We start from the raw sequence: 26,874 nt of genomic DNA, 5'->3' as shown, positions 1-26,874 counted from the left end.
AGGGGCTGCTGCCCCAGACTCACCCCTCGCCTGGGACCCGCACTCTTGAGCTGTGGGTACCACGGTGGCCGTCCCCTTCTGTTCTGTGCAGTGGACTTCCTGGCTCCTCCTTAGCCTTGGGGCCCCCACAGCCCTCGGCTTGGCTTCCCTCCCCATAGCCAGGCCCTGGGTAACTCCAGGGGAAAGTGACCCTGAGGCCCCCCACTTCTCCCCGTGTCCTGCACAGGCCTTGGGCTTTCGGCGGTGCTGTCTGCCGCAGCCCCACGCCTTCCTGGGAGAGTGGCCCAGGCCCCCCTTCCTGAGTGTGACTGCGCTGCCGTCTGCGAGGCCTGCGCGGGTCTCCCCCGGGCTGTCCCTGCTGGGATGGGGACTGGTGGCCCCGGGCCACGTCCTGGATCCGGCTTGCTCCTTGGTACAAGCCCGTACGGGTCACGGTCAGGCAGGAGGGCGGGCGGCGGGGTCCCGGGGGCGCCGAGTTCGGGGCCGTGCGGTCCCCAAGAGCAGGCTGTGCGTGTCCCTGTTGGAGCCCCACGAAGGCGGCCCAGGGCCACCCCTGAGGGCGCGTGGGCCCGACCCGCGTCCCGGATCCAGCTTGCGGCCAGGAATGCAGGTGTTCCAGGGTGCCAAAAGGAAAACGCACAAGGCCTCGTCGAGGAGGGGGGGTCAGGAGGGGACCGGGGGTGGGAAGAACGCGGGGGAGAGGGATGGCAGGGTGCCCGCCCGAGGGACCGACACCTCCGCGAGTGGCACCCCAGGATGCTGACGCCGGCGGGGGTGGGGGCCCGAGGGGCGGTCGGGGTCAGGGGGCGGCCCCAGGGGTAGGGCCGCAGCACGAGGGGCCGCGTGACCCCGGCGGTGACCGGGTGGGGAGAGGCCGGCGCCGGGGCTGGGAGACGGCCGTGGGTGGGAGGGTGCCCCGTGGGGACGCTCCTGCCGCAGCGCCCGGCCACGCGCGAGGCCCCGCCCTCAGGACGCGTTCGGCGGGACGGACCCGCCCACCCCGCAGCCGCGCGCCCGCCGCGCCGCCTTGTGGGCGCTGTAGTCCCGGAGTCCGCGTGCGCGGGGCCGGGTCCGGGAGCCCCAGGGCAGCCGCCCCGCCGAGTCGCAGGTACCGGTGGGGAACGGGGCCACGGGGCCGCGTGTCGGGGGCTGCGGGGTGTCTCGGGGCCCTGGGGTGAGTGCGGGGCGCGGGCCGAGGTTTGCAGGGCCCTGTGAGGTGAGTGTGGGGGCTGGCGCTGGGGTCCGCGGGGCCCTGGGGAGGGTGCGGGGCGTGGGCCGGGGTCTGCGGTCTGCAGCCTGGGGTCCGCGGGGCCCTGGGGAGGGTGCGGGGCGTGGGCCGGGGTCTGCGGTCTGCAGCCTGGGGTCTGGGGGGCCCTGGGGAGGGTGCGGGGCGTGGCCGGGGTCTGCGGTCTGCAGCCTGGGGTCTGGGGGGCCCTGGGGAGGGTGCGGGGCGTGGGCCGGGGTCTCCGCGGGGGTCGCGGTGGCCCGGGCGCCTGGCAGAACCGTTGCTGTGCAGCGGGTTTCCCGCCGCTCGCTTTCCGCCGCAGCCTGCGAATGGGGTGGGGAGTCCCGGCCCCCAGCCTGCCCTCCGCGTCATCCTGGGGCGCCAAGTCCCACCCCCGGGTCTGGAGGAAAGCGTGGATCCGGCGTTCGCGCCCAGGCACGTGTTGCTTCGGGACGGGCCAGCCGGTGGGTGAACCCTGCCAGCCACGCGTGGGGCGGGCCCCTGGCACATCTCCAGACCATTGTCTCCTGTGCCAGAAGCTTTGTAGGTGCAACTTCCCCTTGGAGCAGCTGTGGGTGCGGATCCAGCGGAGCAATCCCGAGGCGTCTCAGAGAGAGCCTGGACAGCCGCTGGAGCCTTTCCCGAGTGGGTCCTTCCAACACCGCTACAGCAGGAAAGCCATCCCCCTAGGGTCCTGTCCATCGGAAACTCCTGTCCTGGGGAGTCTGGCCTGCCTGGCCTCAGGACACAGGCCAACTAAGCTGGCCCCGAAATCCAGAATGCATCCAGAGGGAAGGTGGGATAAAGTCCTTGGAGGCGCCTGTTGGCCGCCCTGTAAAGAGGTGGCCTCCCCCTACGGAGACCCGAGGATCCCCGCACAGCCCAGATTCAATCAGCAGAGCCGAGGTGCCTCTGGCCCAGTGCACCTGCCTGCCCTGTCCAGGCCTGGGAGCCAGGCTGCATCTCACTGGCCGCCTTTGCCTGGGTGCCACCTGTGCACTGCTTGTTGCAATTGCTAATTGCTTTCTTTCCGAAGGGGCTTTGGTGGATTTTTATAATTCCAGATAGTACAGTTATCTCTGCTGGACACAGATGAGAAAGAGTGCTTCTCGGGTGTTTGGGCCTGCAGCAGTGATAGCCGGAGGGTCTAATTATGCTGTTAGGAACCCTGAACTTGGTCATCTGAACAGGGGTGGGAGGGTGTGCAATGCTTTCTTCTTCTTCTTTTTAAACTAGCAGGCGTTCTAAAAAACATAACGAACATTCTTGGTTAGCCTTCCAGAGTAGGAGCTGGTTTAAACACGGAATGATAGGTGGCGTTTGCTTGTGTTTTGATTGCGGGTCTCTGGCCTTCTCTGGTGCTTGGAAGGACAGGGCCTGGGTGGGGCTGGTCACTGTGGACAGTGGGGCCGGGGATTTGCAGGGGCTGTTACAACCTTCTCCTGAAGGCAGGGATTCTCTCTGCTTCCCCGTGGCCCTCCTGTCTGGTCGGGGACTTCCTTCAGATGCCGGGAAGAGGCCTCAAGCTGTATGGGACTGGGCTGGGGTCTGGACACTTGGAGTCTAGGCGTCCCCTGGCTTGGGGCTGCGTTTCTATGATGGTGACCAAGTTCCCTATCTTTCCTCTTGGAGGTGGTCTGGGCCGTGATGGCCAAGCCTCTGTCAGTGGGCTACGTTCACGGCACATAAGTTGAGTATGCTGGCAGCAGAGGCTGACTGTTAAGACCAGCAGCAGCCCCTTGCTGGCGGAGACTCTGGCTGTCTCTCCAAGGAAGGAATGTTCTGGTCGCTTCTGGAGGTGGCACCTTTCAGAACAGGGGGCCCAAGTACCCAGGGCTCCCGGGCCCCTGGGGGTCCTGTGGGTGGGGATCTGACTCCTGCGGCCATGGACTGTGGGCGCAGACCCTGGGCTTAGTTCAGCTCCTGATGGCTCCCCGTTGTCTGCGGCGATCTGGTTGCTCTGGTTGTCTGGGGATCGGTGCGCCTGTCTAAACCTGCTGACAGGTGGGAAAGTGAACTTGACAGGGAGTCCCAGGGCCAAATGGGTCTCCCAGTGGGGAGGAGTGGGTGCGGTCTGAGGTATGTCCAGCTCTACCCGTGGCCTCTCTGGGCATCAGGGTCCCTGGTGATGGAGCCCAACCTTTGTGCACTGATCTTCCCAGCTGTTGACAGGCCCTGAGGAGGCATGGAAGGTGAGGCCGAGGCAGGCGACCGTCAGATCTGCCTCGGCCTGGCAGTGGCCCCTGCCTGCGCTTCCTCCTGCCTGGCCGGCTGTTTTCATCCTGGCCCTTTGAGAACTTCTAGGGTCCTGGCTGCCTCCAATGGAGGGTGCTGGTCCCATCTTCTTCCCAGCTGTGCCCTGCCGTGGAGCTCCGGAAACCTCGAGGTTCCCCTAACCCTTCCCCCTCTTCCCTGCGGCCCCCATTGCAAGCCCACCAGCCTCTGCCTCTTAAGGGCTTCCCTGCCATCACCTATGTTCCTTTGTCACAGACATGAGTGTGTAGAGGTGTCAAGACGGGACCCCAGATGATGCTGATGGCTTTGCCTAAGTGGCCTGGGGAGGGTCTCTCTCTCTGGTCCCTGAAGGCCACCTTTTTCCTAAGCCTGTGTGTCAGGTTGGGGGCGGTTCAGGGAGCACTTCCAGCCTGAGTGGTCTCTGATACGTGAAGACTGAATGCTGAGAGCCTGGGGCAGATTTTCCTAGGGGTCCCTGGACCCCCAAAGCTGGCCCCACATCGAGGGATGCTCTGAGCCCCTGCTGGAGGGTTGGAGGAGACTTCTCAAATCCAGACCCTCTGCAGACCCCCTGCCACCCTCCCAAGCCGGCCCTGTGGCGAGGCACAATTGTCCAACTGTCAGCCCAGTGCAGATGGGACGGCGACCCCGCCCCACAAGGCTGCTCAGCTGCCCTCTGCATGCGCTGCATCCCCACCCCACCTGAGCAGCAGATGGCCTTTCCACGTGCACTCTGCCAGGCCTGGCCTCCGGGAGCAGAGGTCAGCTGATACAGACGTGAGGTGCACCTGTGGGGGACCAGGGCCAGGTCCTGGCCTCACGGGGTTGGCTTGGTGTGGGCGTCTGACACACTTGTTTATGGCAGTTCACTTTTGACTTACTTGAAGGAGAACTTTACACCGAGGCCTTAATGGAAAACCAGGGCCACGTGGCACCTGGAGACATGATTCTGATAAGTGGACAGGCTTTTGCCCCGCAGCTGAAAGGCACGATTTGTGGTGGTGAGACGTGCCCTTGCCCGCACCGGAGGAGCCTTTCTCCTGGGCAGAATCAGGACTGAAAGAGACACGCCCTCGAGTGTGCTTCGTGCTGCTGCTGCTCCACCACGTGCCCTGGCCGTGTGGGGCGGGGGTGCTGGCGGGATGGTCCCCAAGGTTGGGTGCATGTTGCCTCGTGGATGAAGTCCTGTGGTCTGGGGTGCTCCATCTGGAACGTGTCAGGTCCACTCATGGCTCCTGCCAGCTGCTTTCGTCTAGGGTAACCTGCCGCCGGGGATGCTGGGGTCCCTGGGCTCAGGGGCTGGGCCTCGGCTCCATCCCATCCTCCCTCCCACGCGTGTTTCAACCCTGGCTGCTCTCAGCCCCCTCAAGGACACCTGCTTTTCCCTCTGCCCTTCCCTCACTGTGGGCTTGGCCTGCACGCCCTCCTGCCAGGGCACGCGGCTGATGGGGACCTGAGGCTGGTACCTGCAGCCACCCGCCGCTGGCCACCTGTGGTGTGACCCCGGCCTCCAGCAGCGTCCGTTCCTGCCTGTGCCCTCCCTGGGCCACCTGGGTGCCGCTAGAGCAGCAGCAGGCACGTGGGCTGCCCTCAGGCCTGTGGGGTGAGGTGTGCCCCCTGACCGCCACAGGTACTGCCCAGCAGTGCCATGAGTCTAGTGTGGCCCCAAACCCTAAATTTTGTTAGTTTAGTTAATAAAGTAAGTCAATTAGTTAATTAACTTGGTTTTGATTGGCACTTAAATCACTCCATGTGGCTGGAGACTTCCCTCAGCCTCGGAGACCCTGGAGGTGGTGACAGCCTGGCCTGGGGGACTCCGGAGCAGCTCAGGTGTGGGTGGCTCCCAGTTTGGTGCTACGGGGTGAGGATGGGTCTGGGGTCTGCATTCGTCTCCAGGGTGGCGTTTGGTCCTGAGTGGCGAGGAGGCCGGCACTGGGCCTCGTTTTGCGGGGTAGGGAGGCCTGCAGACCATCTTCCAAGGTGCCCTGACTCCACCCCTCCTTCCAGGCACAGCGTCACCTTCGTCCCCTCCGGAGCTGCACGTGGCCTGAGCAGGATGGTGCCCTCCAGCCCAGCGGTGGAGAAGCAGGTGCCCGTGGAACCTGGGCCTGACCCCGAGCTCCGGTCCTGGCGGCACCTCGTGTGCTACCTTTGCTTCTACGGCTTCATGGCGCAGATACGGCCAGGGGAGAGCTTCATCACCCCCTACCTCCTGGGGCCCGACAAGAACTTCACGCGGGAGCAGGCATGTGGGTGCCGGGGTGCCGGGCGGCCGCCTGTGGGTGGGTGGGCGGGGAGCAGCGTCTGGAATAGGCACGTGGGCGCCGGGATGCGGGGGCGGCCGCCAGTGGGTGGGCAGGGAGCAGCTTCTGGAATAGGCACGTGGGCGCTGGGTGCCAGGGCGGCTGCCTGTGGGTGGGCGGGGAGCAGCTTCTGGAATAGGCACGTGGGTGCCGGGGTGCCGGGCGGCCGCCTGTGGGTGGGCGGGGAGCAGCTTCTGGAATAGGCATGTGGGCACCGGGGTGCTGGGCGGCCGCCTGTGGGTGGGCGGGGAGCAGCTTCTGGAATAGGCACGTGGGTGCTGGGTGCCAGGGCGGCCGCCTATGGGTGGGCGGGGAGCAGCTTCAGGGGCCAGGGCGCTTTTCCTGTTGGATGTGTGAGCACTTGAGGCTGGAGCGGGTGAGTGGCCGTGTCAGCTGATAATATGGTCCTGGAGGGAACCCGGCTGGGGTCTCACACTCCCAGCAGCGGGCACCATCAGATGGAGGGGCCTGGCTTCGGCCTAGTAACCAGGCTAGATAAAAAGTGATATTGTGTCCTGCAGAGAGAGAGCCTGCCCCACCCCACCCGCCAGGCCGTGCTCATCGGCCCTCCTGGTGAGGAAGCCCACGTCCAACCCTGCTGGGCACCTGCCTTCCACAGAGACTTAGTGGCTATTTACCTAAAGAGATTATTGAAGGAATTTTCATTTTACTCAGCCATGAGGACAAAGGGTCTTATTGAAACTGTTCTAATAGGCTTATGCCCAGTCACGGGTCTCTCAGGTCACATGAGCGGTGGAGGCGGGAGCGGCCGTATCCGAAGCAGTTTCCTCCTGGAGCTGTGGGGTCCTTGTCCATAAGGCACATCTGCACAGGAAGAGCCTGGAAAAGCGCTCTCACAGGCTGCCGGCCCAGCTGGTCACCCCGACACCCCATCCCAGGGCCCTGGGCCTGCTCACCTGCCCATCCCAGCCGCTGACCCCGTCCTCTGCTCCCACATGGCTGACGCTCGGCATGCCTCTTGTTCCCTGTGTCTCCTGGCCGGAAGCCGGACCCCAACCCTCCCAGACCCTAGAATTGTGAAACTGATGTGCAGCTGAGGAGTGTGCTATTGGGACAGTGGAGGTGCTGCCCTTCCCGCGTGCCCAGCTCAGAGCACCGTGCGGTGTGATTGTGTCTCGTCCCACGGCCAGCACTGCTAACCGCCAGGCTGGGTCACTTTCTAGGCGAGGACAGGGTCTTGCCCTGGCTCCGGCTGTCGGTGGCGGGGCTGGGGCTGGAGCGGCGGAGCCATCTCCTTGACCCCTCATGAAATGCCTTCTGCTCCTGGCCAGTCCGTCCCTCTCCCTGCCACCCACTGACCAGATGGCATCTCTGCTCTTAGTGGAGGGCCACTGTCCACCGCCAAGGTTATTTATAGGGGTGAGCATTATGTGTGGCGTTTCCCTTAAAATAACAAAATAAGAAAAGTCTCTAGAGCAAAAATGTTTAAATCCCATCTGCCTGCCCTCTCATGTTGTACATTAACGGATTAAAAAGTAGATTCCAGAAATTAAGCCATTCCACCAGGCCTTGGATATCATCAGAGGGACGATGGGTGCAGGTGCTCTGCGCACCTGCCACTTGGTGGGGCCCCCGATCTCAGCCCCTCTGGCTGCAGGAGAGGCCCGGGGAGAGCTTCATCACGCCCTCCCTCCTGGGGCCCGACAAGAACTTCACGCGGGAGCAGGCACGTGGGCGCCGGGGTGCAGGGGCAGCCACCAGTAGGTGGGCGGGGAGCAGCTTCGGGGGCAAGGGAGGCCCAGCCTGCCAGGACTCGCCAGCCCCTGTTGTTGCCAGGCTTGTGTCTAGGAAGTTCACGTAAGTGGTGTCTTGTGACCCAGCTTTCGCAAGTTGCTCTCCTGCCCAATCTGACTTGAGAGACGTTCCACGTGGGTTCGAGGCTGTTCTTAAGCTGCGCCTCCTGGGTTGAACTACAAGGTGCTTATCTGCTGCTTTGCTGGAGGTGATTAGGGGATTCCGGCTTCTCCCACTGCAGGTGATGGCTGCAGGTAGAGCACGAGCTGGCAGCCTCAGGCAGTGGGCCTTGACCCAGCTGGCCCGGGCTGGCACTTCCAGTTCACTCCTGGGGCGAATGCTGCTTCCTCTGCAGCCTGCCACGGGCTGCCCACGTTCCCCTCACCAGCTCGGGTGGGCTGCTGAGCGCCGGCCGTCTGGCCGCTGTGAGGAGCGTGGTTTCCTTTGCTCACATTTGCTCTGCCGCCATTTCTCCCGCCGTGGGCCAGTGTTTCCTGGCAGCCCTGTGGTTGCTGTCCTCCTCGGACCTGGTTCCCTTTTCTGCCTCCTGGGGACCCCGTGCCCTTGGGATTGGACTGGTTGTGTGTTACATACGGTGTTTCTCTGGAGTCATTTTGAATTTGGCCAAATTTCCCTCCAGGGTTTCTGCTTTGAGTGTCAGCTGAGAGCGCTTTCCCCGGCCGAGTCCGTGAGGTGCTCCTGGGTGCACTGAGGTTGCCTGGGCCCCCGCTGGAACTGTGCTGTGTGGTGGGAGCTGCAGCCCCCGCCCTCCTCCAGGGAGACCCCCCGGCCCAGGACCCTGTGCACAGCAGTCCCTCCTGACCTGCGGCCCATGCCCCGTCCCCAGCCAGCCCCTGTTGGGTGCCCTTCTGTGGCATCCAGTCCTGCTGCCCCACGCCTGGCCCTGCCCTCGCGTCCTGCCTGCCTTCGGGCCTTGCCCACCTTCCCGCCTCCCTGTTCAGAGAAGCCGCCCTGAGGCCGTCTGGACGTAGATTTGGGCGCAGCTGCCTGCACTCTGCCCATTCAGCCTGGACCCCAACCAAGACCTGTGGAGAGCAGGGCCGACGCTGGGCTCAGGCAGCAGGAGGCTGTCCTCGTGTCAGAGTCGTGGCCGCCTGACAGATGCCACCTCCCTGCTGGGACCGTTGTGAGGGCCCCTCCCCCAGCAGCCTTGTAAGTGGGACGCAGGTCACAGCTCTGGGCAGAGCCTCCCTGCTGTCTGCCTGCCAAGGCTGAGGAAGAGGGAGTAGGGGCCGTTGAGGAGGTGCAGGGAGAGGAGCGGGAGGGCTCTGGGTGGCTGCCAAGGGGGAGCTCTGCGCTCAGACCCTCAACTAAGACCAGGAGGTGCCTGATGAGGCCCCAGCCTGCAGAGCCAGCTCCTGGTGGAAGAGGAAATGAGGCATGCTCCATTCATTCGGAGGTGGGTGAGGCTTCTAGGACCCCTGGCCGCCCTTTTCCAGAGAGCCGTGGGGTCTGGGGAGAGCCTCTCTGCTGGCTGTCTACCATTTTGACTCTGGGCTGTGGGCAGAACCTGTGCCCCGGCCAGGGGCTGGGGCTGTCATGCCCCCACGCAGCCTCCTGTGTCTGGGGGTCGGGGGTCCCTGAGGTCCTAGGAGGACCCCTGCCTCTGAGCCGCTTCTTTCGGAATCTGCAGGGGTTCCCTGGGCTGGCCCTGAGGAGGAGCCTCCCCCAGTCGAGCAGGCCATCAGCCAGGAGAGCTTGCCCACAGAGGGGCTGTTTGATGTCCCCAGGACATTGCTGTAAACACAGTGCAGAAGCCGATGGCTGGCCCTGAGGCTCTCTGTGACCCGGCGGGCTCACTCAGCCTCCTGGCACATAACCTGCCCTCAGAGTGTCCCGGAATGTCCTGAGCAGGACGGAGTGCCGGAGGGACCTTGGGTGCCTGGTGCTGCTGGGACCACAGCCTTTGGGTCAGCCTGGCCTCCATGAGGGTGCAGGCTCCAGGGTGCGACCTCAGGGTGCCCTGAGGTGGGGTCTCTGGGCAGCCTTCCCCTGAGCCCCTGGGAAGCTTCTCAGCATGCCGGCCTGGCTGCAGGGTCCTATTGCCCAGCTGTTCACAGTAGCCGGTGGCCGGGCTCTGAGCACATCGGGCCACACATCTTGGGTGTGCCAGACACGAGGCTGAGAGCCCCCGGGGAGGCGGCGTGGCTCGGCGCAGCACCCCACGTGCTGACCCAGGGTTTGGTCCTGCCAAGTGTGGCTGGCAGGGGCTGAGGTCACCTGGGGCAGCACGAGTGGGGCTGTGGGGTTACTGGTGGTCAGGCCTGAGTCGGGTGGGGCCTGCTGGAGGCCCAGAGTCCAGCAGGGCCCTGCTGGCTCATCTGGTACCAACCTCCAGTGGATCTGAGGTGGGGTCTGGTGGGGCCTGTGGGCGGGGCCACCTGCTGAAAATGCACCTGGGCCCCAGGGGAGGCTCCAAGCATAGGGTGGCTCCCACATCAGTCCCCAGGGAGGGGCAAGGCAAGCGGCTTGGCCTCACAGGGGTGGGGCCTCTTCCTCTGGACTGTGCCCAGGTGTGCCCAGGTGTGCCCACAGCAGCCCTGGCCCCTGCCAAGACAGCTGAGGACGTTTGGTGCCTGCCTGTAGTAGTCTGGGGCAGTGTCCTCTGACCTTGTCCTGTAGGAGGTAGCACCCCCAGCCCCGTGCCCAGCTCCACGTTCCCATGGAAGGTGGATGTGTGTTGAGGCCACAGGCATGGAAGCCAGGCCTGGAGTGTCCACCAGCAGCTCAGTGGCCAAGGCTGTGGAGCTGGGTTCCCACATAACATGTGATGGAGGAGGTGGGGGTGGGCAGGCTGACAGCCTGTGCTCCCCCTCCTGGGAGGGTGCAGGGCGGCTACAGGGGCGTTTGCCCCCCTCCCTGCTCCTGGGTTGGAGTCTGGCCTTAAAGACCTTGCTCTGGGGACAAGTGTGAGATGGGAGTGCACAGCCCAGGGCCCTCTGCCCTACCCCACTTCCTCTCTTTCCCCTTCTTCCCCTTCCTGTCTTTCTTCCCCTGCCGGGTTCCCCCACGAACAGTCCCTCCCACGAACCTGCTGTCCCTGATCCTGCCCTTCCTTTCTGTGTCTTCTGTTTTTGTCTCTCTCCAGGAAGGATGGAAGAAGCTTGTGCTGGTGTGAATGTGTATGGGTTACAGCTGTGTTTTCCATATTGTTTAAAATGAAATAAAACCATGTTTTGATTCTATTAAAAATAGAGAAGCTGGCTGGGTGTGGTGGCTGGTGCCTGTAATCCTAGCACTTTGGGAGGCTAAGGTGGGCAGATCACCTGAGGTCAGGAGTTCGAGACCAGCCTGCCCAACATGGTGAAACCCCCATCTCTACTAAAAATACAAAAATTAGCCAGACATGGTGGTACGCACCTGTAATCTCAGCTACTCGGGAGGCTGAGGCAGGAGAACTGCTTGAACCTGGGAGGTGGAGGTTGCAATGAGCTAAGATCGTGCCACTGCACTCCAGCCTGGGCGACAGAGCAAGACTCTGTCCCAAGAAAGAGATAAAAATAGAGAAGCTTAGATGAACAGGCTTGTTAATAACGATTCCTTCTGTGGCCACTGCCAGCTTTCCGCAGGCGAACGCTCCCAGGCTGCCGGGACGGTCGGGAGCCAGAGGTCCCTGTTCAGAGAGGACGATGCAGTGGGACATGGGACAGGGGCGTGTTGGGGAGAGGGGTCCCACCAGGCAGTGTTGGGGCAGGAAGCCGTCAGCAGCCATCACCTCGGGCGGGCTGTGTCTGCCGCAGCGGCAGCATTGCTAACACCTGGTGGGGCGCACGCCCGCCTGTCCGCAGGTCACGAACGAGATCACGCCGGTGCTGTCGTACTCCTACCTGGCCGTGCTGGTGCCCGTGTTCCTGCTCACCGACTACCTGCGCTACACGCCGGTGCTGCTGCTGCAGGGGCTCAGCTTCGTGTCGGTGTGGCTGCTGCTGCTGCTGGGCCACTCGGTGGCGCACATGCAGCTCATGGAGCTCTTCTACAGCGTCACCATGGCCGCGCGCATCGCCTATTCCTCCTACATCTTCTCTCTCGTGCGGCCCGCGCGCTACCAGCGTGTGGCCGGCTACTCGCGCGCTGCGGTGCTGCTGGGCGTGTTCACCAGCTCCGTGCTGGGCCAGCTGCTGGTCACTGTGGGCCGAGTCTCCTTCTCCACGCTCAACTACATCTCGCTGGCCTTCCTCACCTTCAGCGTGGTCCTCGCCCTCTTCCTGAAGCGCCCCAAGCGCAGCCTCTTCTTCAACCGCGACGACCGGGGGCGGTGCGAAACCTCGGCTTCGGAGCTGGAGCGCATGAATCCTGGCCCAGGCGGGAAGCTGGGACACGCCCTGCGGGTGGCCTGTGGGGACTCAGTGCTGGCGCGGATGCTGCGGGAGCTGGGGGACAGCCTGCGGCGGCCGCAGCTGCGCCTGTGGTCCCTCTGGTGGGTCTTCAACTCGGCCGGCTACTACCTGGTGGTCTACTACGTGCACATCCTGTGGAACGAGGTGGACCCCACCACCAACAGTGCGCGGGTCTACAACGGCGCGGCAGATGCTGCCTCCACGCTGCTGGGTACGCATGCCCTGGTCCCCGAGGCTTCTTCCCGCAGAGGCTTCCCGTCCACCTCCGCCTGCCCCGTGGATCCTTCCCCCGGAGGCTCCCTCTCCCGCCCCCTGCCCCATGGATACCTTCCCCCAGAGGCTCTCCGCCACCTCCCCCTGCCCCGTGGATCCTTCCCCCGGAGGCTCCCCCTCCCCGCCCCCTGCCCCGTGGATCCTTCCCCCGGAGGCTCCCCCTCCCCGCCCCCTGCCCCGTGGATCCTTCCCCCGGAGGCTCCCTGCCACCTCCCCCTGCCCCGTGGATCCTTCCCCGGAGGCTCCCCGTCCCCGCCCCCTGCCCCGTGGATACCTTTCCTCAGAAGCTCCCGCTACCTCCCCCTGCCCCGTGGCCCCCCAGGGCCGCTGCAACGCCCCATCCCTCCCCTCTCAGGCGCCATCACGTCCTTCGCCGCGGGCTTCGTGAAGATCCGCTGGGCGCGCTGGTCCAAGCTGCTCATCGCGGGCGTCACGGCCACGCAGGCGGGGCTGGTCTTCCTTCTGGCGCACACGCGCCACCCGAGCAGCATCTGGCTGTGCTATGCGGCCTTCGTGCTGTTCCGCGGCTCCTACCAGTTCCTCGTGCCCATCGCCACGTGAGTTCCAGAAGGGTGGGAAGCCGGGGGCGGGCAGGCGCCAGGATCAAGCCCCGCGCTTCGCTGGGTGCTCCCACCTTCCTGCTGCGCCCCAGCGGCTGTGCCACTGCTGGCCCCGCCAGCCACCTGGAGCTGACCAGGGTCCCCACTTGCCTCTCCCTGGGACCTCGGGCGTCCCTTCCTGTGCCGTCTTGCTGCTCCCCCAGGCCCTCCACGCTCCTCTCTGAAGCCTGCTGGGCTCACAGCCTTGCCCTGCTCCCAACCCCACCCTCTAGGCCCCGGGCTGCTGAGACCCCATCCAGGCAGGAGCGGGAGCTTGCACCTGTGTGAGTTCATCCTCAGCTTACACTCACACCAGGCACTCACACCACACACACACCACACGCTCACACATGGACACACACACACTCATGAACACACCACATGCGCACAGATGGACACTCACCACACACTCATGAACACATACCACACGTGCACACATGGACAAACACACCACACTCACACATGGATATATCGCACATGAACACACCACACACACGGACACACACCATGTTCACACATGGATATATCACACATGGACACCCACTACACATGGACGCACCACACACACACGGACACACAATGCACACTCACATGAACACACCACACGCTCACAGATGGATACACCACACAGACACACCACACACGAACACACACCACATGCTCACAGATGGACACCCACTACACTCACATGAATGCATCACATACTTACACATGGACACACACCACACACACGGACACCCACCACACTCACATGAACACACTACATGCTTACCCATGGACACACACTACACACGGACACACACACACTCACAGGGACACACCACATGTTCACAGACACCCACCACACTCACATGAATGCACCATATGCTTACACATGGACACACACCACACAGACACACCACACACTCACATGGACACACCACACACTCACAGATGGATACACCACACTCACATGAACACACCACATGCTTACACATGGACACAGCACACATGGACATGCTACACGCTCAGATGGACACACACCACACGGACACACAACACATGCTCACACATGGACACACACCACACGTTCACACATGGACACACCACACGTTTACACATGGACACGTTCACACATGGACACACGCTCACACATGGAGACACCCACACATTGACACACTCCCACCACATACTCAGACCACACACACTGACACACTCAGACACTGACCCTGTGTGCTCACAGGGTCCTGCTCCCTGGACCTGCCCCCTCTTTCCTGCCCGCTGGGAGGACTTTGGCCCCAGCTCAGTACCCCTTCCTGGGCTTCCCCTCCAGGGTGGCCTCCGAGCCCTATCTCCCTCCCTCCGTGGGTCATCCCCCTGGGCCTTATGCTGGTCACGAGCCTGTTTGAGCTGAGAGCACCCTCCTGACCCTTGCATTGGGCCCTCTGTGTCAGTGGCCTCACCCCTGCAGCATCCTGCCTGGATGTGCCCGGCCCTGTACTTCCCCATCCTCCCCACATGCAGGCAGCAGTCTCCCGGCATGGGCAGCCCGGCCCACCCTTCTCTCCCGCCCCTGCCATACTCGGGGCCCCTTCTGCTCCTGTGTGGCCGCCTTCTCCAGGCTCCCCGAGGCCCACACTGGGCTCTTGCCGTCCCTGGCTCGTGAAGGCCCAGCGTGATCTTGCTTGGGCCCCCCCACTGACCTGCCAGCACTGTGGAAAGGGCCAGGGCCTCTGCCATTGTGCTGTCCCATTGCTGCAGCCAGGGGGACAACGCCTGAAAGGTTTTAGTTATAAAGTCATTGATGCCCATCGCAAAAAAATCCAACACGGTGCCGCAGCGTGCAAAGCAGAAAACTGCTGTTTGCTACGGGGAATCCCAGCATTTTCTGCTTGTCTGTGTTGGGTTGATGCCAGACACAGATGCAGATGGTCACTCACAGATGCAGGTGGTCACTCCCGGTCATGAGTGGTGGGCCTTACAACCCATCCCCAGTCTATGGGTAAAGTCACCATTTCCATTTTTCTTACACGAGGAAAACACTGAGATGAATGCCCTTCTACCTACATTTTTGTTTCCAAATTCTAATAATGACCCTCAGGTGGATTCCTGGAAGGGGAATGGCCAGGTTGGAGAGTATGTGCTTTTGAAAGCAGGTTTCTGTCAATATTGCAGGTACCCTGCAGGCCGGCATGCGGGCTTCCTCCCCGTCAGGATGGTGGAGTGGCCTCCCCACCCTCCCTGAGCCCCTGACGGGCCGGCTGGGCTCCCAGCCTTTCCTTAACCAGAGTGAGGCCGGCCGGCCTGCTGTGGACTGAGTGGCCCCTGTGTGTCTCCTGACTCTGTTGGGACTCGCTTTCCTCCCTGCTGATCTGGGGAGCATTCATCTGTATCATGTATTTTCAATCACCTGTGCCCCCATCACGCCCCACACTCGTCTGCCTTTAATTCAACTCACAGTGTTTCTGAGTGTCCTTGGAAGCACCCTGGGGGCTGGCCTGGGCTCTGCCCTGCCCAGCGCTGGCATCCAGAAGCTCGTGTTTGTGCTCAGTTCTCCCTGTTGTTCGTCTGCCCTTCATCCCACTGACCTGCTCACCGGGACCTCTGTGTGCTTCTCTCGTCCTCCCTGCTGCCGGCCTGCCTGCCTGCCCCCGAGCCTCCACTGTCCCCACTGTCCCCCCGTCTCCAGTGCCCAGCAGCACAGACACCTCTGCCCTTCTCCAAAGGGTTCCTGGGCATTTTTGTTTATTTTTTCTTCAGGTGAACTTTAGGACATTTTTTGTCCAGTTCTTTTTTTTTTTTTTTTTTAAGCACTTTGCAGATTTTAATTGGAACTGCATCGGAAGACTAGTTTCTTTGCAGAGCACCAGAAGCCTGGCGTGTCACCTCTCCATGTCAGGAATGTGGTGCCTTCATTCCTGGACATGTTCATGCCACCGCTCACCTCCAGGGCCCGCCCTGCCTGGCTGCCACTCACCTCCAGGGCCCACCCTGCCCTGCTGCCACTCACCTCCAGGGCCCGCAGTAACTGACTGCCACTCACCTCCAGGGCCCGCCCTGCCTGGCTGCCACTCACCTCCAGGGCCCGCAGTAACTGACTGCCACTCACCTCCAGGGCCCGCCCTGCCTGGCTGCCACTCACCTCCAGGGCCCACCCTGCCCTGCTGCCACTCACCTCCAGGGCCTGCAGTAACTGGCTGCCACTCACCTCCAGGGCCCGCCCTGCCCGGCTGCCACTCACCTCCAGGGCCCGCAGTAACTGACTGCCACTCACCTCCAGGGCCCGCCCTGCCTGGCTGCCACTCACCTCCAGGGCCCACCCTGCCCGCTGCCACTCACCTCCAGGGCCCGTCCTAACCTGCTGCCACTCACCTCCAGGGCCTGCCCTGCCTGGCTGCCTCTCACCTCCTGGGCCCACCCTGCCCGCTGCCACTCACCTCCAGGGCCTGCCCGGGCATACCCAGCTGCTATTCACCTCCAGGGCCTGCCCCGCCTCCAGGCCCCCCTCCCCCCCAATTGCCACTCACCTCCAGGGCCCTCCCGGGCATACCCAGCTGCTACTCACCTCCAGGGCCCGCTCTGCCCAGCTGCCACTCAACTCCAGGGCCTGCCCTGCCTGGCTGCTGCTCATTCACCGACTCTGTGGTTTCACTGCTCTTCTAATTTATCAAACATTTAACCGTGAAAGACTTTCATTCTAGACTTTTCTGTCTGTGCCCAGAGGTTCTCTTGATGATGATTTTCTGAATGTTTTGAGACGCCCGTGACCTGGTCTGTCCCAGAGCTCATGGGAGCCCTTCCAGGTATCTTCTCGAGTTTGTGTTTTGTGACACCCATTGTATAGGTTCAGCATCCCTAATCAAAACAGCCAGAATTCAGCTGGGCGCAGTGGCTCACACCTGTGATCCCAGCACTTTGGGAGGCTGAGGTGGGTGGATCACCTGAGGCCAGGAGCTCGAGACCAGCCTGGCCAACATGGTGAAACTCTGTCTCTACTAAAAATACAAAAATTAGCTGGGCATGATGGCGCGTGCCTGTAATCCCAGCTACTCGAAAGGCTGAGACAGGAGAATTGCTTGAACCCAGGAGGCAGAGGTTGCAGTGAGCTGAGATTGTGCCATTGCACGCCTGGGCAACAGAGCGAGACTCCATCTAAAAAAAAATAACAAAAAATCCAGAATTTGAAATACTCCAAAATCTGACAGTTTTTGAGCACCGGAAAGACAACCCGGTGGAAAATCCTGTACCTGACCTTGTTTGACGAGTCTCAGAACACGGTCAAAAGTTTCTTCATGCACAAAATTACTCCAGAACTCAGGGTGAGGCCCTGGGCAGTAGCAGGCAACCCCTTTGGCTTGCAAATGTTTGTCAGGTATTATATAAAATCACCTTCTGGCTGTGTGTGTACAGTGCATATGAGCATAAATGCATTTCGTGTTTAGACTTGGGTTCCATCCTCAAGACATCTCATTATGGACATGTGAATATTCCCAAATCCAAAACTACTGGCCCCAGGCATTTTGGATAAGGGACCCTCACTCTGTACTGAGCCAGGGGGACACGGCAGCTCCCAGAATGGCCCCTCGAGGGTGGCCTGGGTGCTGGCTCCTGCCTGGCAGGGGCGGGCATGTGTGGGAGAGATGGGGGCCTGGTGGGGGGCTTGTGCGTGCCCTGGGACCCCGTGGCTGCCGGGCGGGTCATGGGCTGGTGGGAGCCGGGCTGCAGGCTTTTCCCTGTGGCTGCTGCTTATTCTCCCAGCAGCGCCTGATCTGCCCGCTCTTCCCGTTCAGCTTTCAGATTGCATCTTCTCTGTCTAAAGAGCTCTGTGCCCTGGTCTTCGGGGTCAACACGTTCTTTGCCACCATCGTCAAGACCATCATCACTTTCATTGTCTCGGACGTGCGGGGCCTGGGCCTCCCGGTCCGCAAGCAGGTGAGCCCATTTCAGGCCTGCGTCCTCGGGGATGGAAGCTACTTGTGGGGACATTGTTGAGGCCTCCTGGTGCCCGCCTGATGTGGAGCCCACTGTGGGCTGGGGGCACAGGGTGCGGGCCTGGGGCTTCCAGTGGGACACACCAGGCCAGCGAGAGCAGGAAGTGAGAGAGACCCTAGCGGGGCTCAGTTGTTGTGGGCGGGAGCCTCCGTCAGGCCCTGGGCCTCAGTGGGAGCAGCTGAGCCTCTGCTCGCCACGGCGGAGCTGTCCTTGTCTCCGCTCTCTGCCTGTGGCTGCCGGAACTTGGTGTCCTTGAGCCCTGGCTGGAGGCCACGTGACCTTTGTCCTCTTCAGGAAGGAGAGCTGAGCAGAGCCACTCAGCAGTGTCAGTGCGCAGGCCTCTGCGGGTGCCCTCCCCTTTCCCACCTCTCGCGGGCCTCTGCTGCTTCTGAGAAGAGCTGGAAAACACACATTTAACTCCTGAGGGTCCCAGCCAAGGCCGGGTCTCCGAGTGAGCTGGAATCAGCCATGGTGGGCGTGGTGTGAGAGGTCCTTCCAGGCTCCTCAGGACTGCCCCAGCCTGCAGCTAGACAGATGCCCTTGGCGGGTGGGACAAGGGCTTTGTCCACCTGGGGCCCAGGTCTCACTGGGCAGGAGGACTGTCAGGGTTAGTCCTGATCCTCTGAGGGTGCGGAGTCTGTTCAGCTTCAGTGACTCCAGAGCTCAGGGTAAGGCCCGGGCAATAGCAGGCATCCCCTTCGGCTCACAAATGCCTGTTAGGTGAGGATGGCTGTTGCTCACTCATCGAAATGCATTCTTCAGCCCAAGAGTGTCATTAGGGCCTGTCCACGCTGGCAGGCCACGTGGCCCTGTGCCACAGAGCCCTCTGGGTACAACACCCCCGACCCAGGTGTGAACACTCAGGGCGGGTGAGTCTCCAAGGCCCAGGGGTGAACGCTTAGGGTGGGTGAGCCTCCGAGGCCCAGGTGTGAACACTCAGGGCAGGTGAGCCTCCAAGGCCCAGGCGTGAACACTCAGGGTGATGAGCCTCCAAGGCCCAGGGGTGAACGCTTAGGGCAGGTGAGTCTCCGAGGCCCAGGGGTGAACACTCAGGGCGGGTGAGCCTCCGAAGCCCAGGGGTGAACGTTCAGGGCAGGTGAGTCTCCGAGGCCCGGGGGTGAACGCTCAGGACAGGTGAGCCTCCAAGGCCCAGGGGTGAACGCTCAGGGTGGGTGAGCCTCTGAGGCCCAGGTGTGAACACTCAGGGCGGGTGAGCCTCCGAGGCCCAGGTGTGAACACTCAGGGCAGGTGAGCCTCCAAGGCCCAGGCGTGAACACTCAGGGTGATGAGCCTCCAAGGCCCAGGGGTGAACGCTTAGGGCAGGTGAGTCTCCGAGGCCCAGGGGTGAACACTCAGGGCGGGTGAGCCTCCGAAGCCCAGGGGTGAACGTTCAGGGCAGGTGAGTCTCCGAGGCCCGGGGGTGAACGCTCAGGACAGGTGAGCCTCCAAGGCCCAGGGGTGAACGCTCAGGGTGGGTGAGCCTCTGAGGCCCAGGTGTGAACACTCAGGGCGGGTGAGCCTCCGAGGCCCAGGTGTGAACACTCAGGGCAGGTGAGCCTCCAAGGCCCAGGCGTGAACACTCAGGGTGATGAGCCTCCAAGGCCCAGGGGTGAACGCTTAGGGCAGGTGAGTCTCCGAGGCCCAGGGGTGAACGCTCAGGGCGGGTGAGCCTCCGAAGCCCAGGGGTGAACGCTCAGGACAGGTGAGTCTCCAAGGCCCACGGGTGAATGTGTCCAGGCCCGGCCTGGGTGGACACAGCCTCCTGGTGGCCGGGCTGGTCTCAGGTCTGCAGAAAGGGGGCCCAGAAGGCTTCTGTTGAATGCATGGCCCCAGGGCGGGGTGCTGGCAGCAGTCCAGCTGGCTTTGGAGGGGCTCCAGCACCCGGGAGGAGGTCCTCCCCATTCTTGGAGCCCCGAGTTACCTCTGTCCCCAGACAGCAGTGGCTGCCAGCATGTATGGGCAGGGAGTGCCCGTCCCAGGGAGACCCTCAGGGCCCTGTGTGGCCCCAGCCAGGCTGGAACTGGCTTCTGACCTGCCTCTGGGTGCTGACTGCCCCTGACTACCGTTGCCGCCCCACCTCCATCCCTCTGTGACTGCCTCTTGTTCAGCCCTTGGCAGCTGGAGGGGCAGATGCCTGAGGGCTCTTTAGGGACTCTGTGCGTGTGCTCCCCTGTAGCTGCCCTGTGGAGGGGACCCCTCACGGTGGGCTTCTAAGGGCCCATGGGGGCTTGGTGCAGGGGGTGGAGCAGTTCTTCCCCAGAGAGCTGGTCACGAGGAAGCCCTTTCCCTTCCTTAGCTGGTCCTGGTCCTGGTGTGGCCGTGGAGGCTGTGGGGGAGACAGCTCTGGGGAGGTGGAGGCAGGTTCTGGCCTGTGGTTCCTGGCTGCCTCTTGTCACATAGAAAAAAAACACATGGACTTTTCTCTGGCTGGTTTGATTTCTAGGTTAAAAAGTTAACTAGTGGGGCATTTTGCTCATGGCTGGACATCCTGTTGGGTCTAGAGGAGGTGGTGCGGGCTCATCTTGCCCCCGTGCCTGTTACTGGGTGCCGAGTGTCCACTCTCTTTCCTCCAGCATGGGGAGAACAGCTGGGCCAGGAGTTCAGGCTTGGTCGGGGGTAGAGTCTGGAGACGGGAGGGAGCCGTGATGGAGCATGGGGGGACAGACAGGGCTAGAGCTTGCCTGGGTTTGCCTGCTTTTTAAATTAAGCTTTATATTTGGGTAATCTTATATTCACATGCTGTTTAATAAATAATACAGGGAGATCCATGTACCCCGTACCCAGTTTTCACAGTGGTCACGTCTTACAGTTCTGTAGCACATCACAACCAGCATGGCGACAGTCAGGATCCAGAACATTCTATCCCCACAGGGATCCCTCATGCTGCTCTTTATAGCCAAGGCCCACCCTACTCCCAGCCTCACGTCCTCTTTAACCCCTGGCAGCCACTACCCTCTTCTCCGCTTGTATGAGTTTGTCATTTCAGGAGTGTTGTATAAACACGGCTATGCATTGTGTATCGTTTAGGGATTGGCTCTTTTCACTCAACACTGTTCTCTGAACATTCATCCATGTTGTTACTGTGGCTGTGGCTGATTCCTTCTTGCTGCTGAGTGCTGTTCCAGGGTGTAGGTACAGCACACTTTATTTATTCACCGTTGAAAGACTTGTTTCCAGTGTGAGGTATTACCAATAAAGCTGCTATGGACATTCTTTTATAGGTTTTTGTGTGAATATAGGTTTTCCTTTCCCTGGGACAGACGCCCAGAAGTGCAAGTGCTGGGTCACCAGGTAGTTGCTTGTTTCTTTCCAGGAAAGAAGCAGGGAAGCAGCCCACTTTCCATAGCAGTCGTACCGTTTTATATCACCACCAGCAGACTTTGAGAGATCCAGTCACAGCGTCTTTGGTATGCCGTGTTGCCACTAGTTTTTATTTTGGCCGTTGTGATAGGTGTAGTGATATTTCATTGTGGTTTTAATTTGCATTTCCCTGGGGCATAATATTGTTTTAATTTGCATTTCCCTGGTGGATAATGATGTTGAACATCTTTTTATGTCCTTATTTTCCATTTGCAAAATCTTCACATCTTCTGCCCATTTTCTCATTGGATTGTTCATTTTTATACTCTTGAGTTTTAAGCATGGTTTGTGTATTCCAGATATTAGTCCTTTGTTGGATATATACAGTTTGCAATTTTTTTTTCAACTCTGTAGCTGGTTGTTTCATCTACTTAATGTGGTCTTTTACAGAACAAGTGTTTTTTAACTCCCATGAGCTCTGATTTAACAGTTTTTCCTTTTATGGAAACTCTTTGCCTAGCCCTAAATTCAGAAGATTTTCCTCAAATTTCTTTTTTAAAGTTTCGTGTTTTTACATTTAAGTCTCTGACCAGCTTTAATTTTTGTATAAGATGTGAAGTTTAGGTTGAGGTCACTTTTTTTTTGGCCTGTGCGTATCCATTTATTCCAGCATCATTTGTTGAAAAGACTTAGCTCTCCCCATTGAATTACTTTTGCACCTTTGTCAAAAGTTGGGCATATTTATGTGAGTCTGTTTCTGGGTTTTTTATCCTGTTCCATTGAACTATGTGTTTACTCTTGTACCAATATCACACTGTCTTGGTTATGAAGCTTTACAGCAAGTTTTGAAAGTGGATAGACTTGATTCCTCCAACTTCTTTTTATTCAAAATTGTTTTGACTATTATAGTTTCTTTGCCTTTCCGTATACATTTTAGAGTAATCTTGTCTATATCTACAAAAATTCCTGCTCAGATTTTGTTAGGAATTGCAATTAAGCCAGTGTATCAATTTTGGGAGAATTGACGTGTTTACTGTGTTGTTTTCCAATCCATGAACATGGTATATCTTTCCATTTATTTAGATCTTTGATTTCTTTCAGCATTTTGTAGTTTTCAGCATATGAGTACTATACATGTTTTTAGTTTATGCTTTTTCTTAAGTAAATCAAACCATATTTTGAAATTTGTTATCTGCATTAGTCTGTTTGGGCTGCCATAGCAAAATATCACAAACTGGGTGACAAACAACAGAAATATATTCTCTCACAGTTCCGGAGGCTTGAAGTCTGAGATTAAGGTGTTGGCAGGTTGGTTTCTCCTGATGCCTCTCTTCTTGGCTTGCAGTTGGCATCTTCTCCCTTTGTCTTCATATGGTCTTTTTTTTCTGTGTATGGTCCTCCCTGGTATCTTTTTTTCGTTTGTTTTTTTTTTTTTTGAGATGGAGTTTCGCTCTTGTTGCCCAGGCTGGAGTGCAATGGCGCAATCTCAGCTCACCGCAACCTCCTCCTCCTGGGTTCAAGCAATTCTCCTGTCTCAGCCTCCCAAGTAGCTGGGATTACAGGCATGTGCCACCATGCCTGGCTAATTTCATGTTTTTAGTAGAGACGGGGTTTCTCCATGTTGGCCAGGCTAGTCTTGAACTCTGGACCTCAGGTGATCCACCCGCCTCAGCCTCCCAAAGTGCTGGGGTTACAGGCATGAGCCACCATGCCCGGCTAGTGTCTGTCTTCTTATAAGGACATCCAGTCAGGTTGGAGTAAGATGCCATCCTTGTGACCTCATTTAACCGTAATTACCTTTTGAAAGGCCCTGTCTTCAAATGCAGTGACATTGTGGGTTAGGGCTTCAACATATGAATTGGGTGATGGGTTCACAATTCATTCCATAACAGTGTATACATGTTCGTTGCTAGTGTATAGAAATGTAGTTGATATATTTGTGTGTTTATCTTGTATACTGCAATTTTGCTGAGATTACTTATTTGTTGTAGGAGGCTTTTCCATTTTTTGGCCTTTGTTTTTTAAATTCCTTGAGATTTTCTACGTAGATAATTATGTCATCTGCAAATATTTCTTCCTTTCTGATCTGTATATCTTTTATTTCTTTTTCTTGACTTAGTGCACTGGCTGGAACTTTATTAATTCCTTCTTTCTGCTTGCTTTAGATTTATTTTGCTCTTCTTTTTTCTAGGTTCTTGAGGTGAGATATTGATTTGAGACTTTTCCTCTTTTCTAATTTATGCATCTAATGCTATAAATTTCCCCACTCAGTACTGCTTTAGTTGCATCCCACAAATCTTAATAGGCTGTGTTTTCATTTTCATTCATTTCAGTGTGTTTTTTGATGCATCATTATTTCAAATTTTGTTGTTTAATTTCCAAGTGTTTTGAGATTTTCCTGTTATCTTTCTGTTATTAATTTCTTTTTTGATTCTGTTGTGATTGGAAAACACATTATTATTTCAGTCCTTATAAATTTGTTAAGATTTGTCTTATGACCCAGAATATTATCTGTTTTGATATACTGTGGACACTTTGAAAGAATGTATATTCTGCTTTTGGGTGGAGTGTTCTGTAAATGCTGATCAGATCCTGTTGGCTGATGGTATTGATTTCCTCTCAGTTCTTGTGGATTTTCTGTCTAGTTTTATTATTGAGAGGGGGTATTGAAGTCTCCTAAGTATAATTGTGGATCTGTTTCTCCTTTCAGTTCTGTTGTGTTTTTGCTTCACATATTGGCAGCTCTTTTGTTTGTTGCATACACGTTAGGGATTGAAATTTGTTTTGGTGGACTGACCCTCTTGTCAATTGTGTAATAGTGGGATTATATAATGTCCTTCTCTGTCTCTGCTGTCCCTGGTCTTTTTTTTTTTTTTTTTTTTTTTTGCTCAGAAGTTTATTTTACCTGATGTTAATATAGCCACCCCTGCTTTCCTTTGATTAATGTTCACATGATACATCTTTTTCCATCGTTTTACTTTCAACCTTCCTATCTTGGTATATTTGAAGTGAGTTTCTTGTAGACAGCACGTAGTTGAGTCATGTTTTTAAATCGACTTTGCTAATCTCTGTCTTACAGTTGGTGTATTTAGACCATTTATATTTAATGTGATAATTTGTATATTAGGGCCTAAGTCTGCCATTTCGTTTTTAATTTTTCATTTATTCTCTGTTTTTAGTTTCTGTTTACATTTTTTGCAGCTTCCAGTGGGTTACTTGTACATCCTTTAGAATTTTGTTTGGTTTATCTATTGTGTTTTTGAATGTACTTAGTATAGCTTTTTTGGTTGCTTTATGGATTACATTAATACATAAAGTTTGAGTGAAGTATAAAAACGTTGCCTTTATGTCACTGTCATCTCCCGCTTACAGTACAATTATCTTAAATATTTTCTCTACATACCTTTAGTGCTACATAAGAAAATATTGTAATTTTTGCATTAATCATCAAACATATTTTAGGAAACTAAAGAAGGAAAGTCTGTTTTATTTACCCATAATGTTGCCTACTGTGGTATTTCCTCTTTCCTGTTATTTCAAGATTCCTTCTTTAGTAATTTCCTTTCTGTTTAGAGAACTTGTTTTTTGTTTGTTTTTTGCCATTATTTTAGACAGATCTGCTGGTTACAAATTTCTTCTCTTAGTTTTTCTTCATCTGTGAGTGTCTTGATTGCTCTTTTATTCTCAAAGGATGTTTTCACTGGATATAGGATGCTGGGTAGACAGTGTTCTTTTTTTTTAGCCTGTGAGAAATGTGGTGCCCCTTCCTCATAGCTTTCAGGATTTTTGATGAGCAATTACTGTTATTCAAATTGCTTGCCCGTAAAGTGTCATTTTTCTCTGGCCACTTCCAAGATTTTTTCTTTATTTTTATCGTTAGCTTATAGAAGTTTGAATATGGTATGTGTTGGTGTGATTTTGTTTGGGTTTTCTATTTGGGGTTTGCTCAGCTTCATGAATCTGCAGTGTACATCTCACCAAATTTAGGAAGTTTTCAACCATTATTTCCTGAAATGCTTTTTGAACCCCACTCCTTTTCTCCTCTTTTTCTAGATCCCCCATGTCACAAATGTTAGATCATGTTGTATAGTCCCACAAGGAATGAGGCTTTGTTCATTTTTTTTCAGTCCATTTTTTCTTTTGTTCAGGTTGGATAATTTCTATTGTTCTACCTCCAGTTCATTGATCATTTCTCTGCCTCTTCTATTTTGTTGTTGAGATGATTCATTAAGTTTTTAAATTCTGATTATTGTACATTTCAGTTCTAAATTTTTTTTATTTCTCCTATTTCTTTGCTGAGACTGTGTTTTTTCATTTGTTTCCAGCATGTTTGTTATTGTTCACTGAAGCATTTTTATGGTGGCTGCTTTAAGATCTTTCTTGGCGAATTCTACTGTCTGTGTTGTCTTAGTGTTGGTGTCTATTAATTGTTTTTCAGTTTGAGATCTTTGTGGTTTAGTGTGCCAAGGGATTTTTTAGTGAGATGCAAGCATTTTGGGTATGATGTAATTTCAGCATCCTGTTGTGGCTGACGCAACTCCTGCAGGTCAAGCGGGGTGTGCACCTCGCTACAGGCAGGTGGGGTGGAAGTCCAGGCTCTCACTCAGCCTTTGTGACACCTGAGGGAGGGTGGGTGGCTGGGTGGGGGCTCCTTCTTGTTGCCAGGCAAGGATGGGAGTCCAGCTCCCCTCGTGGCCCCCTTGATGCCCCTGGGGTTGGGACATTCTCATTATTGCTGGGTAGGTGAAAGTCTGGACTCCCGCTTGACCTCCTCTGACACCCCCCAGCATGGAGGGGGACAGGACAGGCACGCTCTTACTACTGGGTGAGGATAAGAGGCCAGGCTCCCCATATGGTCTCTGCTGACTCCGTGAGGCTTCGGGGGTGACTAGGCTCCCCACATGGTCTCCACTGACTCCATGAGGCTTTGGGGGTGACATCTTGGGCTTCCCTGTGGTCTCTGCTGACTCCTTGGGGGTGAGGGTGGGTGTCTTTACCAACCAGTGGGAGTGAAAGCTCTAGTGCCCACTGGTGTTGTCTGACACCACCCCGCAGGGGACTCGGGGGTCCTTGTTACAGGCTGGCGAGGGTGGGGGGTCCTTGCTGACATGGTGGGTGGAGCCGAGGTCTGGTGTTTGCGGGGAGCAGGGCGATTCCTGTCGAAAGGTCTTTCCTCATGTTGGGCTGACCCTTCCCTGGGTCTTAGGCCAGAGAGAGCTGCTTCCATGGGCTCTTTTTTCTGCATCTGTTGTCTTTTCCAGCCTGCTGCCTTCTTCAGTTTCAAAATATCTGAGGTGAAAAGAAAAGCCCCCAGGGAGCTCTGCGTGGCACAGTCTGTCCTTGCGTGGCACAGCTCCCCAGACCCCGAGGGCCCGGCCAGTCTGCCCTTGTGTGGCACAGCTCCCCAGACCCCGAGGGCCTGGTCAGTCTGTCCTCCTCGCTCCTGCTTTCAGAGTCTTCCCAGGTGTTTATCTCAGTGTCTTGGGTAGGAGAAGAGCAGGGAGAAGCGTGTCAGCCCCATCTTCCTCAGTTTGCTTTAAAAACAGCTGTCCTGGAAGGGTGCCGGTGCCGATGGGCTGCAGGGATTCTGGCCTGCGGATGTGGAGCTGGGGCCTCAGGGGTCTTGGGCGGGACTCACTGGGCTCTGCCCACGGATGTCCTGAGGGCACTGCAGCCTCCTGAACCCTCTGCACCTCCGGGAATGATCAGGTCCCTCCCTGGTGTCCCAGGGACATCTCCAGTCCCTCCTGCCCCTGGCAGCTGCGAGAATCAGGAGAGATGTGGCCAACGCTGGTGCTGCTCCTTCTGGTCATCGTAGCACAGCTTCCGCTGCCGAGATGGAGACGGGCTCCATG

At 57.4% G+C, this 26,874-nt stretch overlaps 1 protein-coding gene across 25 annotated transcripts in view, besides 8 other annotated features; it reads left to right on the top strand.

The window, feature by feature from the left end:
• The window catches only part of SLC19A1 (solute carrier family 19 member 1), a 60,509-nt gene that overhangs the window by 19,550 nt on the left and 14,085 nt on the right, over window positions 1-26,874 (top strand). For 5 of the 25 annotated variants that reach the window (NM_001352511.3, XM_011529700.3, XM_047440954.1 and 2 more), the window contains 4 exons: window positions 5,468-5,705; window positions 11,328-12,087; window positions 12,505-12,706; window positions 17,518-17,659. In NM_001352511.3, the coding sequence (NP_001339440.1) occupies window positions 5,517-5,705; window positions 11,328-12,087; window positions 12,505-12,706; window positions 17,518-17,659 (1,293 nt within the window). In that variant the 5' untranslated portion in view covers window positions 5,468-5,516. Of the gene's footprint in view, window positions 1-1,035; window positions 1,109-1,149; window positions 1,217-1,629; window positions 2,022-2,642; window positions 4,718-5,467; window positions 5,710-6,106; window positions 8,692-8,719; window positions 8,939-11,327; window positions 12,088-12,504; window positions 12,707-17,517; window positions 17,660-26,874 lie in introns of those variants that run through there. The other 20 variants (XM_047440963.1, NM_001205206.4, NM_194255.4 and 17 more) reach the window with 13 other exon arrangements.
• Window positions 396-908: an enhancer, noted in NCBI's record as "H3K27ac-H3K4me1 hESC enhancer chr21:46962482-46962994 (GRCh37/hg19 assembly coordinates)". NCBI's record gives its function as "activates a minimal SCP1, AML or CMV promoter by ChIP-STARR-seq in naive H9 embryonic stem cells {active_cell/tissue: H9 hESC(naive)}" and the evidence as "EXISTENCE:reporter gene assay evidence [ECO:0000049][PMID:30033119]".
• Window positions 763-842: a silencer, noted in NCBI's record as "silent region_13404". NCBI's record gives its function as "represses an Ori minimal core promoter by ATAC-STARR-seq in GM12878 lymphoblastoid cells {active_cell/tissue: GM12878}" and the evidence as "EXISTENCE:reporter gene assay evidence [ECO:0000049][PMID:35858748]".
• Window positions 883-1,192: a silencer, noted in NCBI's record as "silent region_13403". NCBI's record gives its function as "represses an Ori minimal core promoter by ATAC-STARR-seq in GM12878 lymphoblastoid cells {active_cell/tissue: GM12878}" and the evidence as "EXISTENCE:reporter gene assay evidence [ECO:0000049][PMID:35858748]".
• Window positions 1,543-1,602: a silencer, noted in NCBI's record as "silent region_13402". NCBI's record gives its function as "represses an Ori minimal core promoter by ATAC-STARR-seq in GM12878 lymphoblastoid cells {active_cell/tissue: GM12878}" and the evidence as "EXISTENCE:reporter gene assay evidence [ECO:0000049][PMID:35858748]".
• Window positions 8,410-9,284: an enhancer, noted in NCBI's record as "H3K27ac-H3K4me1 hESC enhancer chr21:46954106-46954980 (GRCh37/hg19 assembly coordinates)". NCBI's record gives its function as "activates a minimal SCP1, AML or CMV promoter by ChIP-STARR-seq in naive and primed H9 embryonic stem cells {active_cell/tissue: H9 hESC(naive and primed)}" and the evidence as "EXISTENCE:reporter gene assay evidence [ECO:0000049][PMID:30033119]".
• Window positions 14,576-14,746: a silencer, noted in NCBI's record as "fragment chr21:46948644-46948814 (GRCh37/hg19 assembly coordinates)". NCBI's record gives its function as "represses an EF-1alpha promoter that drives an FKBP-Casp9 reporter gene in an ReSE screen in phorbol 12-myristate 13-acetate-treated (for megakaryocytic differentiation) K562 erythroleukemia cells {active_cell/tissue: K562(+PMA)}" and the evidence as "EXISTENCE:reporter gene assay evidence [ECO:0000049][PMID:32094911]".
• Window positions 15,967-16,261: an enhancer, noted in NCBI's record as "tiled region #1559; HepG2 Activating non-DNase unmatched - State 18:Pol2". NCBI's record gives its function as "activates a minimal TATA promoter and a strong SV40 promoter by Sharpr-MPRA in HepG2 cells {active_cell/tissue: HepG2}" and the evidence as "EXISTENCE:reporter gene assay evidence [ECO:0000049][PMID:27701403]".
• Window positions 25,385-25,644: an enhancer, noted in NCBI's record as "active region_18591". NCBI's record gives its function as "activates an Ori minimal core promoter by ATAC-STARR-seq in GM12878 lymphoblastoid cells {active_cell/tissue: GM12878}" and the evidence as "EXISTENCE:reporter gene assay evidence [ECO:0000049][PMID:35858748]".

The sequence above is a fragment of the Homo sapiens genome, chromosome 21, assembly GCF_000001405.40.
Source record: "Homo sapiens chromosome 21, GRCh38.p14 Primary Assembly".
Taxonomy (NCBI): Eukaryota; Metazoa; Chordata; class Mammalia; order Primates; family Hominidae; genus Homo; species Homo sapiens.
Note: the sequence above shows the minus strand (reverse complement) of the source record. Positions and strands in the feature narration are given on the sequence as shown.